The sequence below is a fragment of the Homo sapiens genome, chromosome 7 (genome assembly GCF_000001405.40).
Source record: "Homo sapiens chromosome 7, GRCh38.p14 Primary Assembly".
Lineage (NCBI taxonomy): Eukaryota > Metazoa > Chordata > Mammalia > Primates > Hominidae > Homo > Homo sapiens.
This window is the reverse complement of record NC_000007.14, coordinates 156431951-156449734: the sequence shown is the minus strand read 5'-3', so window position 1 is coordinate 156449734 and position 17784 is coordinate 156431951. Positions and strand designations below refer to the sequence as shown.

Below are 17784 nucleotides of genomic sequence, written 5' to 3'. Positions count from 1 at the left end.
CACCACCACTATCATCATCACCACCACCATCATTACCATTACCCCACGACCATCATCATCACTGTCACTTCCACCACCACCATCATCATTGCTACCACGACCACCGTAACTATTACCTCCACCACCACTACCACCATTATCATCATCACTATCACCTCCATCACCATCATTACCACCATTACCATCACCACCACCACCATCGTGGTCACTGTCACCACCACCACCACCACCACCACCATCATCTCTATCACCTCTACCACCACCATCATCATTGCTATCACCACCAGCACCACCACAACATCTACACCCCACTACCATAATTACCGTCACCTCCACCACCACCACTACCACCGTTCCCATCACCACCACCACCATGATGATCAGTGTCACCACCACTATCACCACTATCATCACTGTCACACTACCACCATTACAATCACGACCACCATTGTCATAATCACTACCACCTCCACCACCATCATGCTCACTATCACCTCCACCACTGCCACCATTATCATCATTGTCACCACCACTACCACCATCATTGTCATCACCACCATCACCATCACCACCACCATAACTATCACCTCCACCACCACTACCACCATCATCATCATCACTATGACCTCCATCACCATCATCATTGCTATCACTGCTGCCACCACTACCATAACTATCACCTCCACCACCACTACCATTACAATCACCACCACCATTATCATAATCACTATCACCTCCACCATCACCACTACCACCATTATCATCACTACTACCACCATCATTGTCATCACCACCACCACCACTACCACCATCACTTCCATCAGCATCGTCACTACCATCACCTCTACCACCTCCAACCCCACTACCACAACCACCACAGCAACAAAACTTAACAAAATTCATGAGAAACAACCAAAGGCAATGGCAAACAAGAAATCAAAAAAGCATGTTTATTATTAGTAATAGTAATACCTGATGTGAGTGGGTAGGACCATGGTAGAGCTAAAATACTGGTCAACAGAGCATGGAGGAGGGGGATGAGTTAAGAAGTCAGACACTGTGAGATCTCTTTCTCCTTGGTAGGCATGAGTAGCCCATGGCTTTACACTCTTCCATGGTGGCTCACTGGGAAATGGTGAGACTGGGATGGGCAATTGGTGTCCTTGCCTGAATCCCATCCATGCCAGTTTATGGACTGCCAAGATGCTGGTTTATTTTAATGTAAATGTAGCCTCCCATTCTCTAAATGAAGATCAACTTCAGCTTTCAGCCTTAATGTCTTGAGAGAGAGACTTCTCTGTGAGAGTAAGTGTAGCGCCGTAAACTATTTCCAGCTGAACTCCATTTCCCACTTCATCTGAATGAGCCAAGTCCTCATCCTGGAGCTTTTTATGACAGTTTACACCATGTTGCATAAATTGAGAATCTCGTCGAAATAATCCCCTTCTATCCTCACTGCTTCTACTCTTTAAATATCTGATGATGTTTGTCTTGTCTTCACTTAGTCCGTGATTAGGAAAGCTGTACACACTTAGCGTCCTTAATCTTTCTTCCTAAATCAATCCTTGAAACCAGCCCCTTAATATTGTTGTTACTCTGTTCTTCTCTGAACCTCTTCCAAATTGTCTATCTTTCTTGTATTGAGCTGCCAGGCCTGAGTAAGCTGAAAGCACTGTTGTAATGCGTACAGACTCGCTAATGCACCCTTGCAGCATGGTAATACTTCGGCCCAGGTCTCCTAAGATTGTCTTCTCTCTCTCATCTCCCATTTCTATCTGTAGGTATAAGCCAGATTCTCCGCTCTCTGCCGACTCTATTTTTTCGTGCAGGATTATTGCTTTTTAATAATCTCCCCAATGTGTTAGAGAATGGAATGCAAACGGGGAGGAGAAGAAAGCTCGGTACTGTAAAAGGAGGTGTGCGTTACTTCCTTCCCAGTCCTAAGAGTCAGTGCCCCTTATCTCCTTCCCTGACGATAACGGTATTTTACACGAATCTCTCCCTTTAAGTTTCCCCACGAGCTTTCATGTAAGATCCTGACAGTCACTTCATAAAACAGAGAGGCAACATCTGATGTCCCATTTTATAGGTGTTGCAACCTGAGGCTCAGAAAGACGGGAAGTCAACTGCTCAGGCCACTGTGCGTAACTTGAGCTTCTTCCCATTTCATAAATCTGTTCTTATGCTCCCTTCGTAAATGAAACCTTAAAATAATTCCTGTAATACCCGGGTAGACACATTTCCAGTTTGGCAACCTTTTATCATCTCTTATTTGCCCTCTTGTTGCGGGATTTCTGCACAGCTATAATAGACATGACTTATTTATATGTTATAAATGCTAGGATAAGTTACCAAGCAAGCTTTTAGGACAGTCTGTCAGCTTTATTCTGATAAGTTCTAATGCATGGCTGGTGATAGTTTCAAGTCCCAAAATATGTAACTGCAAAACCCTGCTTTTTATATGAAGAACTGTTAGGGGTGGTGCCACAGTTTGAAAGTCCCCTCCAAAACTTTTGTTGAAATTGAATCCCCCATGTGGCAGTATTGACAGGTGGGGCCTTGAAGAGGTGATTGCATCATGAGGGTTCTGCCCTTGGGAATGGATTAATCTATTCATAGGTTCATGGGTGAATGGGTTAACCTGGGAGTGGGTATTGGTGGCTTTGTAAGAAGAGGAAGAGAGACCTGAGCCAGCACACTCAGCCTCCAAGTTGTGTGATGCCCTGGGCCACCTCTGGATTCTGCAGAGACCTCCCACCAGCAAGAAGGCCCTCATCAGATGTGGCCCCTTGACCTGGGACTTCTCAGCCTCCATAACTGTAAGAAATAAACTCCTTTTCTTTACAAGTGACTCAGTTTCAGATATTCTGTTATAAGCGACAGAAAATGGACCAAGACAGGTGGGAAGAAAGAGTGAAGAGCAGGGCAGCCCCATCTGGCTGAACTGTTGAACACTGCATAAGCCTGGGAGCATCATTCTCACAGACTCCGATGTGAACGGCCACCCCTGCAGTTCTGTAGTGCACCTCTACGTCAGAGACACCGGCAGGGGTGAGGGTGTACTGTGCAGCCTGCACATCCACGTCAGGGACCCCGGCAGGGGCAAGAGTGCTCTGTACAGCCTGCACCTCCATGTCAGAGACCATGGCAGGGGTGAGGGTACTCTGTGCAGCCTGCACCTCCACATCAGAGGCCCCAGCAGGGGCAAGGGTGTTCTGTGCGGCCTTCACCTCCATGTCAGAGACCCTGGTGGGGGCGAGGGTGTTGCCAACTGCAGAAGCGGGGAGCTGTTGTGCCCAGTGGCTTCATCACACCCCATGCCTACAGGGAGGGGTTCAAGGTAGCCTTTGAGATAATTCCCAAACCAGCTTCCATTCACACTTTAAGCCTTGCCTTCCTCCATTTCCCACCCCAAACCTGTAGAATTCCCAAATCTCCTCCTTTGGCTCTGAACTTCCTTCTCTCCCCACCCAGTGCAGGCCCGTTCCTGAGACATCTCCCCGACTCCGGAGCGAGCTGCTTCCTCCCCTGTGCCCTTACCTGTGTGCAAGTGCATGATTGCCTGACCACATGGATCAGTAGTGAATTCCCAAATGGGCTGTGAGTTCTGAGGGGACCGGGCTCTCGGTTCAGCTGCTTCTTTCCAGCCCTTTACACAGGTTGCGTGCATGGCTGGCAATCAGTTTGTTGAATGAATGTTTGAAAAGACAACATTCTCTATTCTTCTTTCTTTTCTCTTATCCGTGATCCAGATTCACAAAATGCATTCTTGGGGAAATAATGCAACGACCACAGGCTATCACAAGAAAAGTTTACTCAAAAATGATCCGTTCAATTAAACATGAAGTGTCTAATATATGCCAATTCTATGTAAATTTTTTAAAAAAACTTTTGTTCTTGCTTTCCAGGAGTTTGGAAAGGCAAGGTCAGCATGCTCTACAGGAAAACTGGGTTGGCGATAACCTTGTTGGTCAATGGCACTGCCTGGAGACTTCCCAAGGGCTGCCATTTTGTTAGGCTCATTGAGAGATATAGAAAAACAGGAGTAAAAGGTTTCGCAATTTTAAGCATCCTGAGGAAGAATGCTGTGCAAGGGGTTGGATGATGCCTCCCCAACCCCCCAAAATTAGTCCACTTGGAGCCCATGAATGGGACCTCATTCGGACAAAAGGGTCTTTGCAGATGTAATTAAGGACCTCAAGATGAAATCCTCCTGGACTAATCAGGTAGGCCCGAGACCCCATGACACAGACAGAGACACAGGGAGAGTTCCATGTGACAGTGGAGGCAGGGACTGGAGTGATGTATCTGTGCCCAAGGAACACCAAGGATTGCCAGCAGCTCCCAGGAGGAGATGGGATGGAGCTGACGCTCTCCAGAGCCTTCAGAAGGAACCAAATCTGATACTGGATTTCCGTCCTGCAGAACTGGGAGAAAATGCATTTCTGTTTGAAGTTACCAAGTTTGTGGTCATTTGTGAGAGCAGCCCCAGGAGATGAACACAGGGTGGCTCCATGCCAGGACAGGGGGGCAAGAGGCTGGGGCTCTGTGCTCCTCCAGGTCTCACTCAGGCTCACTCTGAGCATTCAGCGCAGTGTTTGGGGCACCCGGTGACCCTGGGTGTGAGGAGACGTGGTCTGTGCCTTCTGGCCCATCGTCATTTGCTCTGGGTGCTGATATCAACCACAGGCAATTTAATTCTAGACTGGAATGGAGCTGGGAAGGGCGCACCTTCCTGCCAAAAGCAATTTCGTCCAAAGTCTGCACCTCGGTGGCTGAGCATGGCGGGCCGGGATGTTTTCACACTGCCACTCTAGAAAGAGCGGAAATGCAGACGCTTTCCTCCTTCACAATTTTTGATTGCTTTGACTTTTGGTGTGTCCGAGAGGCTGTAACTCAAATAACCGTTCCCCACCTTTGGTTAGATCCTAGAGTCTCTGGTACATTGTCCGTCAGCGGTGCTGCTTGGAGGCTTCCCAAAGGCCGCCATTTTGGTAGGCTCATTGAGAGATACAGAAGAAATAGGAGCAAACGGCTCCACAGTAGAGATACAAGCAGCTTCTACCTTCAAATTACTGTGGTTTTTATTTGACCTGTTGGAAGTTCTGGGGTTTCTGTAAAGGATAAAAACTCTCTTTGGGCAGGCACAGTGTAGATCTGAAAAGTCCTGACTACGGCCCCTTCAGTTTATGGCCTGAGGAGCTTGAGGGCCTGAGGGAAGCCAGTGGCCGGAACACACGGGCTCTTTAGCTGAGGAGGGACTTGAACCCAGGTGTTCCGACGCGAGGACTCTCTCCCACCACATACAGCACAGCACTGCTTGCGTTGTTTGGTTTTGTATTGCTTTGGAATTAGTCCAACTATCATCATCGATGTGAATAAATAGACATATATCTTTTCAGTTTGCACAACTACAACCATAAATGAATATTTATTAGTGTGAAGACACCCCCAGGTCCTGGAACACTCAACACATGTAGAGCCAGGTGAGTGCCGTTATCCAAATGAATCACATTTTGTGGATGAAGCAGCTCCACTCATTTCACGCTCCTGTAGAAAACCAACCAGAGCCTGTTTTTCTTCGTAGCAGCTGGAAGTCAATTGATCTTGATTCATTATTCATTGTATTTTTTTTAGATTACTCATTTCATTATTTTATGAAGGATAGGATTTATTTAACTGTGATTGCTATGATAACTTCCCTCCCCGCCCCCTGCTGTAAGGTACCATTTCTTCTAATCAATATATCAAGATCTTGCAGTAAGACTGGGATAGTGTGGGATATTTGGGAAGAAATTCTGATGGAGTTTTAGAACATGAAGCGAGATTGGAAATACAAGTTCTGATTGGGAATATGTTGCAAATCCTGCAGACGAGTAAAGACTCCAAGAGACACGAACCATGCAAGAGCTGGTAAACGAGGTGGCTCAGTGGCAGCCCTGAGCGCAGGCCAGGAGTGGTGCCCATGTGCAGGTCCAAGGGGGAGGCAGTTTGGGTGCGGAAGAGGGATACAGAGGAGTCAGCGATAGGATCTGGCTTTAAAAGGACTTGCAGCATCATGAATGAGCTGGGACATAATTACAATTAGGGTGCAAGTCAAAACGTGGCAAGTTTCATGGAAGAGATAAAAATAAAGTACAGTGGGAGCTCAATGGGGGAGTGATCACTTCTACATGGAGGATCAGAGCGCCTCTGCAGAGGAGAGGCATTGAGCTACGTCTTTATTATTACTTCCGGAAGCCAGTGAATTTTATAATCTTAATTTTCTAGATGCCTCAAAGCATGGAGTATACTTAACTTGCCCAGAGCTTAACTTAAAAAGGAAAAACTCCATGCAGGTGACCCAGGCAGGCCAGCACCTGGCACATGCCACCCTTCCCTGGCCCTCTCTGGCAGTGTTGAGTTCAGAAAAGGTTATGCTTTCTGTTTCTTCACAAGAAAACTGGGGGGTGGGAGGAAGGACAAAAAACGTCAGGGCACTGTGCTGTTTAACAAACCCCCTATCTTTTTCATTCCTCTGCTGCTTCCCCAGCTACAGAGAAAACACTCACAGGGATGATTGCTAGGAACTTTGAAGGAGAAAAAATTAAAAAAAGGAAGAAAACCTAACAGAGCTATCTCAGAAATGAGATAATCTTTTCATGTGTGCACTTTAATGATCTCTTTCATTTGAAGCAATTGTAAAAGCCATAATTACTGTTATTCCTAATATTCTAATGCCAAATTGTCAACCAAAGGCGCTGGGGGAATAAACGGGGTGCTGCTGTTTGATGATCTCACGTGTGATAGGACGCTGCTGATAAGACAGATTAGGACCATTGTAGAATTTGATCAGGTAGCCAAGAAATATGTCAGCAGCTTACTGCATTCACGTGTGTGTTTGCTCCACGCCGAGTTCTTCACCCTGGAAAATAAGAGCAATTTGCAGAAGTGCATGTGACTTAGTTGGTGGAGTAGCTTCACCCGGTGAACACCCCAGGCGTTCTGGAAGGCTGTGATGCAGGAGACGAGTATCAGAGGTTTCTCCCTGCAGCCAACGAGGCTGCGGCTCTGCCTCGCAGCTCTGGAAATGCTAAGCAGGTAATTAACAAATCACAAGGCACAGGTGCGCCAGGTGAAGTTTGGTAAATTGCTTTTGATCTAAATTGAGATGCTTTGGGGATTTAACTTCTTAGACAAAAAGGGCATAAATAAATAATCAGGATTTTAAGGTTGGAACTTGCAAGCAAGCTCGAAAATGTCTTAATGCACTTGAGGAGATGAAGCAGGGAGACTGTTTGAGGCCAGCCCTGGAGGTTGTCTACTGTGCCGTGATGTTCACGCACCTGATTAGCTCAGAAAGGCAGCTTGGCCAATGTCACACAAGTTTGGAAGCTGCACATTTTGTAAGGTGCTCAAAATGCCTCCAGTTTTAGTTTTTGTATCATAAGAAAAAAAGGGGAAGACGAGCAAGGGCCACATGGTCAGCCCTGTTTCCTGGACAGGGCAGCGGTGACCCCAGGAGTGCGGTTCCTAAACCAGGTTCCTGTGGTTCTGAGGAGAGATGCTCCCAGGACACCTGTGTATGATGCATAAGCTCTGAGCCGTGCCAACAGCCAGCACCTGTTGCTTCACTAAACCCCACACAAAACAAGGCCTTGTGTGTGAGAGAAGAGAGACCTCAGCTCTTGGAGGTGGGAGCTTTCTCCATCATCTTTCTCTTATGTCCACCTGGCAAAAGGAACAGGTGTGCCTGGAAGTCCCTCTTTGTCCTTTCAGACCCATATGCTGACATTCCACGTCCGGTCTGGGCCCTGGGAGGCTGGTCTCTAGGGACTCCACCCTCCAGGGCTCTGGCCTTCGGTTGGGTTTGGGCAATGGAAGGCCCTGGTGTAAGATCAGAAGGGGGTAAGGGGAGAGGCTGGGGCCTTTATTTCCTGGCAACTTTCCTGCCAGGTCGTGTTTGGATGGGGTCTCATTTCTCTCTCTGCGGCCAGTGGGTTCGGGTAATCACTCTCTCCCTGGTCCCTTAGGGCTGGGGTTTGTGATGGCCTCCCACTGTGTGACTCCGGGTGCCTTAGTCCCCTGCTGAATTCCAGGCCCTGCTGTGCCTCTGCAGGGTCTGTGTACCCTCTGCTCTGTGGCTCCTCCGAGCACACAGTCTCATCATCACTGTCATGAATTGTCGTAGAAAAGTCCTAAATCCCAGAGTTTGCAATGGTCTTTTTTGCACCAGTTAGAAAACACACCACCTTTGGAAGCAATTAACCTCTTGTGGTTCAGGTAAATTGGATCTGATGTAATGCAGGAGTGCACAGCGGTGGTTTCTGTTGTTTGCTTGCTGTTTTATATTTATTTATTTATTTATTTATTAGGTGTATTCAGGAGTCCATGCAGCAGGAAGTGGAGCCATCATCACAGGGTACGAAGGGAGGACAAGTGCAGTGTCGTGAGCATGTACAGAGGGAAGTTGACAGCGGGGAGAGGCTTTGCTGAGGAAGTGGCGTTTGGAAGAACGAGAATGAGGTAAGTGAGGGGGGTGAAGAGCAATGGGGGCAGTTTGTGCAAAAGCCGGAGGTGCAAGGATGCTGCCGAGCTGGCGGAAGGAGGCCAGAGGGACTGCTCACGGCCTTGGGGGATGGGAGGTGAGGTCGATGGGGGCTTATGATGAAGCAGGAGAATGGGTCTGGAATCGCTTTGGAGGGTCACGGAGAGCCATGGGAGGGTTTTGGGTGCAGGAGTGACCCAGTCAGATCAGTGGCAGATCAGACACTCTGGCTGTCGTGTGGGAATGGGCTGCAGAGAGTGTGGTCCATCCTACACAACCAGGACCTACTGCCGGGGGGGCAGGTGAGAAGCGGCGGTGTCTCGGATGGGGGTGGGAGAAGGGCCGAGGCAAATGTGTGGAGTGTGGAAAAAGCACAGGCACAGGGGAAAGCCCGATGGGACGTTGGTAGCAGCTTGCGTTTGATTTTGGGGATGAAATGGAAAGTGTGTCAAGGAGTGTGCCCTGGTTTTTGGTGTGTGTAGCTGGTGGCGCTGAGACAGGGACCCTCAAGGAGGCCGGGGTGCAGGGGAATCGCCGCCTGGGTGTAGAGCCTTCAGGACCCGTGGAGGGGCTGGCAGCTGGACCTGCCGGTCTAGAAGGGAGGGCTGTTGCGACCTCAGCTTGGGCTTGGGAGGCATCAGCGTCGATTTCCTCACTGACTTTTCCACTGGGCAAGTGCCAGGGGCCTTTAAGGATCTCATCGTTTAGTCAGTAATGATTTTTGAACATGAAATAATTAGGCAGAAATGTGACCAAACAAGCCTGCTATCACATAGGCCGTGTGGAAAACAGCTGTTAGGGGAAGCCAGGAGAGGAGGATGCACTGTGAGCCAGGGGTTCGACGGCCTCCTTCCTGGGCATCTAAGGGACCTGGTGCCCCATCTGAGCCAGCCCGTTCTCCTTCCCTCTTCCCTAACTCTGGCGGGGCCAGAGTGGAGGTGTCCATACAGGGCCCCCTCTTCTTTCGTCTTCTAGGCCAGGCACCAAGCCCACACTCCATCCATTCCCAGGGAGCAGCCGTGGGCACAGGAGTGACTGCAGAAGTGAGTCAGATTGGAGCCATGTGAGGTCTACACCCAGGTGGCCAGGCATGGGCTGAGAGTCCAGGGCCAGAGAAGGAAGGGGCATAAGTGAGGACAAGCAAGTAGGTGCCCAGCACCCCGACACGCAGTTGGCTCGGCACCCCAACATGCAGGTGCTCAGCACCTCAAGACACAGATGGCTCAGCACCCCGACACACAGGTCTCTCAGCACCCCAACATGCAGGTCACTCAGCACCCCAACATGCAGGTGGCTCAGCACCCCAACACGCAGGTGGCTTGGCACCCTGACATGCAGGTGGCTCAGCACCCAGACACGCAGGTGGCTTGGCACGCCAACACACAGGTGCTCAGCACCCCGACATGCAGGTGGCTCAGCACCCAGACACGCAGGTGGCTTGGCACCCCTACATGGAGGTGCTCAGCACCCTAAAACGCAGATTGGAATGAGAAACCCTTTCCTGTTAGGGGAAACCTGGAGAAGCCAGTGAAGGACACTGACCAGCGAACAGCTTCTCACATGCTTTCTTCACCTGGTGGCTGGAAGTCCCTGGGAAGCTCAGACGGAGTAAGTGGATGGAGCTGAGCGGACCCAGGAGGCTGGAGGTGGGAGCAGATGCGGGAAGCACTACTTCTCCTCTCTCTGGGACTCTTAATTATCTGCACAGGGAGTTTCCATCTTGTTAAAAGTGCCACTGTCTGCCAGTCAGTGACTCCTCAAGAAATCTATGAAAGTGTCACTGCAAAGAGGCAACTTCCACAGGGACCAACGGATGTGACGGGGTAGATGTGGTCACAGAGCAAGTGTGGATAGAATCTCTATAATGGACTCACACAGACTTGGTCTTTCCAGAGGTGGCCTGATAGTCATTCCCGACCAATCTCTCAGCAGTGGCTCCTCTGAACTGTACATTTCTGTGCCTTATCCGTCTCTGCTGAGTGTGGTCAAGAAGGCACCACTTTATTTTTTAATTTTTCTTTTGTTTTTTTTTTGAGACAGTGTCCCACTCTGTCACCCAGGCTGGAGTGCAGTGGCATGATCTCAGCTCATGCAGCCTCTGCCTCCCAGGCTCAAGCAATCCTCCCACCTCAGCCTCTTGAGTTGCTGGGACTACAGGTGCACACCACTATGCTTGGCTGATTTTTGTATTTGTTTATTTTATTTTTTTTAGATGGGGTTTTGCCGTGTTACCCAGGCTAGTCACGAACTCCTGTGCTCAAGCGATCTGTCTGCCTCGGCCTCCAAAGTGCTGGGATTGCAGGCATGAGCCACCGCGCCCAGCCAGAAAGCCACTGCTTTATAGACCACCACTTAAATGCACCTGGCAGCTTCATGTACGCAAGAACTTTCCTGCAGCTCCTTTAAATTTAAGAATCTTTTGGCAAAATGAAGAATACAAGCGTGTTTCTTCTTCATATGCTTTGTTTTAGGAACATTAAAAAAATATAGTTACTACAATCAGAAAGCAGTTATATTTGTATGTTTTGTAACAAATACTGTGGCCTGATAGAATGAGCTTCTGACAAAGGCATGTGCTTTCCAAGTGGGCCAAGTTCAAAAGTTGTCCGCTGAGTTGTCTCACTGGCTCATCCAGCCAATCATTCAAATATTTAAAGGCCCCACTAAGGGCCATGTTACTCATTGTACATCTTTAAGGATGGGTGTAACTTACTTATCTGTTTATTTTCAATTTCAGAATACTTTATATTGACTCCTAAAAGTATGGTGTAGTGTATGTTTGTTTTGGGAGTTTCAATACAATCCCTAAATTTATGTATCTCAAATGTACAGGGACTGATCAAATTAGTGCTAATTTTCCTAAAACAGTGTCAAAAACAAGGGAATCAATCATGAACACACTAAGCATGAGCATCGACTGTCACAAGACATGGCTCAGTTTATTTTTTCTTCCTTCTTACTACACCGTAGAACAGAGCTCTTTTGTTTGCTTATGACCTGGGCAAATATGCTGTATGATAAAAAAAAATCATGTATGCATTTGATTCTCATCCAGATGCCCTTAGGATAAGAGGTTCATTTTCATCTTCTGTTTTCCAAATGAAGCTTTAAATCTAATTAGATCTTGAAAGAAAATAACTGCAATAGGGTTTCTGTAAGTAAAGGGCCCTCATTTAAATAATGCTGTTATTTGTTTATGTGATTTACAGTAAGTGATGAAACTCTTCGTGGCCAGCACGCCGCTCACTTCGGGGATCCTTTGCACAGAGCACTTTGAGTTAGTTATAAACCATTCTACACACAGAAGCATTTAATTGTTAGAACATTTCATAGTGTAACAGCATTTCTCATTGCCTAGCATGGGCCTTCTCCATATCGAAGGCCCAATAAATATTTGTAGAATAAAGGAATTCACACCCATCCATTGCCCAGATCATAATTGAGCGGCTCTTCTATTAAAGTTTAGCCTTTTCATGTTAATTTAAAGTGGGGAATTTGAAGGGAGAAATGCGAATTTCAGACTCTAAAAAAGACAAGTCCCGTATAGAACGAGGTCCCAGAGACTCTAAGACGTCTGTGTTGATAGACGTAGGGCTGCAGGAATTGAGAAGTGGTTGACGAGGGAGAGTCTGTTTCAGACCTGCTGTTTGCAGGTTGTATTTGTTCCACAGCTGTTTTTGAAGGATGTTTCTACTCTTAATGGAATCAGGTACTTCACTAAGAGGCCCAAAGGTAAACCTTAGGCTGGATTTATGGCTCAATCCAGCATCCTAAAAGAAAATGTCTGCCTAGGCATTTTTTTTTCCATAAAAATATATACCCTCATCATCATAAATTCAGATTTCCATGGTATTTGCCTTGTGGTAGAACCCAAATGTTAGGGCAGTCTTACCAGGGACAGGACTAATGCAGAAGCAGCTGGCTCTGCTGGCCCTGGCTGAACCGCGATGTGGATGGGGCACCCTGTGAAGTGCTCTGAGTTCCTGGTTCAAGGTTAGGGAGATGGTGAAAAAGGCTGAGCACCTGTCAGTGCATTAAAACCATCGACCATCCCCGAACGGCTTTGGAATGAAGGCTTCCTACTCCTTAGGAATTCTGCCCTTGCTTCATTTCATTTTAATTTTTTCTCCCACTTGGTGAACCCAATGACACTCGCCCAGTGGACTCACGCTCTGAGGGGATTTGTAAATATTTGACAGAGTTGAATTGAAGATCAAAAATAAAACCTAGCACTGCTCTCCGATTTTCTCTGTGCTCCTTGCCTTCGGGGGATAGCATGATAATTAGGACAAAGGGATATTTGAGATTATGCCTTAAATAAACTGGGGCAGAACTTCTTTAAGCTTCACCAACTATTTTTATCTCTGAGGCAGAAAACACCAATTTCAGTGCTCAGCTTAACTTGACTTTGACACCATGTAAGAAAAATAAAGATGGGAGATGTTCGGCTCTGGGGGCCTCCAGGCCCAGTCAGAGGAAAGGACTTAAGTGTTGCCCCCAGCTCTGGGACACAAAACAGGAGCTGGGAGAACGAGGCGGGCTACGTTCTGATCTTGGCTTGGGCCACCCAAACTCAAGAGATTCTTACCCTATCTGCTCAAAATTGAATGATTGGGACGAATGCAGTGGAAAGAACTGGCTGGGAATTAAAAAGCCCCGGCTTACGGCTTCAGATCTGCTAGAATTTGCCGGCAACCTGAAGGAAAGCTCTCTCTCTTTCAGGCCTCAGTCTCGACAATTCCTTCTGCCTGTGAGAGCTGGTGGTGGTGACATCTGACTCACTGCAGGGTCTATGGGAGAAGAACTGTGATTTTACTGTGTGTAGGTTCTGAGGGTCTTGCTTGCAAAACCAAACTTTCCTGGTGTGAAGGGGACAATGGTCTAGACAGGCAGGGTTTTCTGGGGATTCCCCCTCCATGGGTTATTGATCAGTTAACTAATAATAACCTGGTGATTTGAGCCCTTTTGTAGGGGTAGGTGAGGGGGATGGGTCTGGATTAAAGGACAATTTGGGATCAGCCCACAGGACAGAACTCTGAAGAACCCAGGGACAAGCTGGCATGCTGGCCACATTATCAATTAATTAATTATTAATAACAATATAATTATATTATTAATACATAAATTTATGTATTTCTTAACATACAATTTAATGATTAATAATAAATCAAATTAATGTATAAATAATATAAGTATAAAACAATTATTAGTTAATATAATACATAACATACATTCATAGTTACATATTATATTAACTAATAATTAATTAATTGTATTATATTATTTATTAATATACCGTCAATTCTCACTTTCAGATTCCTGACAAAGAATGGGTCTAGTCCAATAACTTCCTTTGGGCGCCTTGCTCTGCTGTGCTCAAATGACTGACCCCACGTTTCTTTAGGTGCACACGAGCTGTCTGTCACCTGTCTGCCATGTTGTGAGCTGCGTGAGTGAGTTAAAGGGACTGCTGCTCCTTAGTGGGGAGAATGGGCGGCTGTGAGGCTGTGGGGCGGGGGCTGGGCCGCTGGGAGCAAAGGCGCGGAAATCACACCAGCCAATCTCGATCGAGGCTTTCTTGAGTCATGGTGATGTGTGAGGTGCTGTGTGGGTATTTTGGGACACACAAAATGTTGAGATTCAATTGGTAAGGACCTGGTCTCACTCTCAAGACAGTGGGGAGAAAAAGTAAAACATGATGTAAAGGAGGGCTTGGGGAAGTACTATCCAGAAAGTCACAAGGTGGGGGCTGCACTTGATTTCTGTCAGTGTGACACAGAAACATGACACTGCCTCTTCTGTTTCCTTCATGGATGCCTCACCTTCTACACCAGTCTCGAACATTTCACCTGCCTGCCTCCTCCATGCAGCCTCTCCTCCATGCAGCTTCATAAGATGACCTTGCCTCCCTCCAGAGTGAACAGACATCAGGCAATGCCACCTGACCCCTCCCTGGCGTCCTCCCAACCTGTCCTCCTTCCCTCCTACTAGGGGCAACTTGGCCACCTGCCTTTGCAGTGACCTTCCCTTATGGATGTCTCTGCAAAATTCTCTCTTTTTTGACACTTTTATCTAGACCGGAAGAGTTCAATCTCAAAATACCTCTCCCTGCACCCTGGTTTTCCATCACCCCAAACTCCATTTCTTTCCTCCCAGTCACACCAAATTTCTGAAGTAGCCCACCCGTGCTAGCCGTCCCTTGCTCCTACACACTCCTTAGTGCCCCCTCATGGGGCTTCTGCCCCTAAGTCCCTGGACTGACCACCCAGTCCGAAGGGGTTTCTGGTCCTCACCAATCTGGTGGCTCCTGGCTCTTTCTGAGACACTGAGATCCCCCTGCCCCCACCTCATTCTTGCTGCTTCCTAGACGCAGGTGGTCCTCAGGCTTCTCCAGGCTCTAACCTTCTCTTGGCATTGGCTTTTCCAGGCTGTACATTCTGTACTGGTGCCTTCTGCATCCTCATCTCATGCTCGGTCTCTCTCTTCAGCCTCAGGCCCACCTGTCTTCTCGAGAGACATTGCATTTTGCGTGTCCCACAAATATCTCAAACATGTCCCCAAACGAACTCATCCATTCTGAAGCTGCCTGGCTTAACGAATGGTGCCATTGTCTCCCCAGAAGCCTAGAAAGAAATGTGGGAGCCTCAGTCCATGACCATGCCCAATGCTCCCCACCGACCCTCGTCTGAGCTCTGGATGTTTCTGTCCGAGGTTGCCACCCCAGCAGCCTAGAAAGAAACATGGGATCCTCTCTCCATGACTATGACCATGCCCAAGGCTCCCTGCTGTCCCTGGCCCAAGCTCTGGATGTCTCTGTCTGAGACTGCTTACTCCCAGCTGGTCTCCCTGTGTTCACCATGTCCACCTTTAACCCATTGTCCACACCGAAGATCCAACCGTAAACCTGATCCAATCCTGTTTAAACTCTTGCGTGTTTCCCATTGTCCTTGCTGGAATCCCGAGTCCTAAAGGCAGGGCTCAGGCCCCTCTTGGTCTGGTTCCTGTTTGTGTTTCTATCCTTCTGGTCCTTCCTCTCCTCCCAGACCTCAGTTGCCTCCTCCACACTCTTCATATTCTAATCGTACAAATACTTTGTTTTTGGCTTTCTGATTCCTCAAGGTGTTCTGTGTGTTTTTCCTTCTTCCTCCTCACTTTCTCTGGCTATTTTCTGCCCAGCCCTTTGGCTCTTGGCTGGTACAGCTCTCCCTCAGTAACCTTCTTTCCCATCCTAGCCAAGGCAGGGCTCCAGGTTCACACTTCTGTAGCACCCTCACTTTCTATAGCATAGACCCCGTGACACTGTGTTGAAGCTGATTTTACATTATATATAGCCCTGCTGGTCTATAGCTTTGAGAAGATTTGGATCCTCAGGGCTTGGTCAGAGTATGAGCCATAGTAAACTCTCAATGAATGCTAGTTGAATGAGCAAATAAGTGTATTCAGAGGTACTGGAGTGCCAAGCTTTGTATATATGCACGCACTCAGATATACATATGGATGCTCCTGGACTCTACTTACACATATATGTATATGTGTATATACATGTATATAAATATATATGTTAAATATGTATATATGGTCCATGTATATGTGTGTACATATATATGTATATACATATTTAAACCACATTATTGAGGTATGATTGATATGTCAAAAGCTGCACATATTTAATGTATACAACTTGATGAGTTTGGGGCTATGTATACACCTGTGAAACCATCACTGCCATCAAGGTCATAAACATTCAATGCTTTTAAGAGCAGGGCTTCCCAGAATTAGGAATTTCATAGACCATTAAAATTGCAGGAAAAATGTAAACTACATTCAGGTCGCCATCTTTACATTTTCTAAGTGAAGATGTTGATTAAAATAATGTTTGTTTTTTTCTCACCACAATCCCACAAAAGACATAGCATTTAAAACCAAAATGGGGCTAGGTGTGGTGGCTCACGCCTGTAATCCCAGCACTTTGGGAGGCCAAGGTGGGTGGATCACGAGGTCAGGGAGATCGAGACCATCCTGGCTAACATGGTGAAACCCCGTCTCTACTAAAAATACAAAAAAAAATTAGCTGAGCATGATGGTGGGTGCCTGTAGTTTCAGCTACTCAGGAGGCTGAGGCAGAAGAATGGCATGAACCCAGTACGCAGAGCTGGCAGTGAGCCAAGATAGCACCACTGCACTGCAGCCTGGGCAACAGAGTGAGACTCCATCAAAACAAAACAAAACAGCAAAATGGTACGAGGACATTATATTAGAATAAAAAAATTAGCTTAAGTAAAAACTCCCAGATTGTCATTAATCATAATATTTTTCCTCTTTTCCAAGCCTACTGAAAATCTCCTTGCAGTACCGGCCTACAAATGTACCGTTAGGAAGCTGTTCTCTTCAAGAGCAGGCTTGGAAGCTAGAGAGGACTGAGATTGCAGCTGTGGTCTGAAGGGCTGTGTGTGAACGGGGGAGCCAGAGAGACTTGGATCTATCAGTCAGGGTTTTCTAGAGAAGCAGAACCAATAAGAAGGAAAGAACAAGAGTTATGATGAGGAATTGGCTCACATGATTATGGAGGCTGATGAGTCCCAAGATCCGTGGGATGAGTTGGGGAGCTGGGGGCCCGTGAGAGCCAATGGTGCAGTGCAGCAAGGTGCTACGGACCCCGGCAGACAGGTGTGGATGATATTCTTTGCCAACTGCCTTTGGACAACCTCAGATTTCACCACGGTCAACAAATAGAGTTACCTCTGACTTCAGTTTGGAAATTTTTTTTTTTTTGCAGGGAATTCTTTGTAGATTTTCAAACTGCTGTTGATTAGTTTGTCAATAAAATTTATTGAGTGCCTTCCCATGTGCCAAGAACTACTACTTTCCTTGACTGTCTCATGCAGTTGCCCCACAGCTGGGCGAGGTGATCCCAGGACCCCCGTGAGGCCATGCAGCGAGCGCTGGCTGGAGTCAGGGTTGGAACCCAGAGTCTATCTGCACCATTAGCTACTGCGCTCCCTTTGAGGGACCTGAACGTGCTCCTCCCGTTCCACGTGACCTGCAGGTGCTTCGAAACAGCCATCATGTCCTCTCCAAACCCTCTCTTCTCTGTCCTCATTTTTGATAGTTCCTTAAGTGGCAGTTTCTATCACTGCATCCTCGTCATCACCCTCTTCTGGATGAATTGTAGTGTATTAATCCGTTCTTACATTGCTATAAAGAAATACCTGAGACTGGGTAATTTACAAAAAAAAATAGGTTTAATTGGCTTATGG

At 47.3% G+C, this 17784-nt stretch overlaps 2 long non-coding RNA genes across 2 annotated transcripts, besides 1 other annotated feature; both read left to right on the top strand.

Annotated features, from left to right (window-relative positions):
* Positions 1–4146: 4146 nt before the first annotated feature.
* Positions 4147–11946, top strand: LOC285889 (uncharacterized). The gene is made up of 3 exons (NR_038232.1): positions 4147–5486; positions 8355–8505; positions 10740–11946. It is a non-coding gene; the product is annotated as an uncharacterized LOC285889 (long non-coding RNA).
* Positions 8605–9479: an enhancer, noted in NCBI's record as "H3K4me1 hESC enhancer chr7:156232950-156233824 (GRCh37/hg19 assembly coordinates)". NCBI's record gives its function as "activates a minimal SCP1, AML or CMV promoter by ChIP-STARR-seq in primed H9 embryonic stem cells {active_cell/tissue: H9 hESC(primed)}" and the evidence as "EXISTENCE:reporter gene assay evidence [ECO:0000049][PMID:30033119]".
* A 4782-nt stretch (positions 11947–16728) lies between the features above and the next one.
* LOC105375599 (uncharacterized) lies at positions 16729–17366 on the top strand. The gene is made up of 2 exons (XR_928244.2): positions 16729–16765; positions 16856–17366. It is a non-coding gene; the product is annotated as an uncharacterized LOC105375599 (long non-coding RNA).
* Positions 17367–17784: the final 418 nt, after the last annotated feature.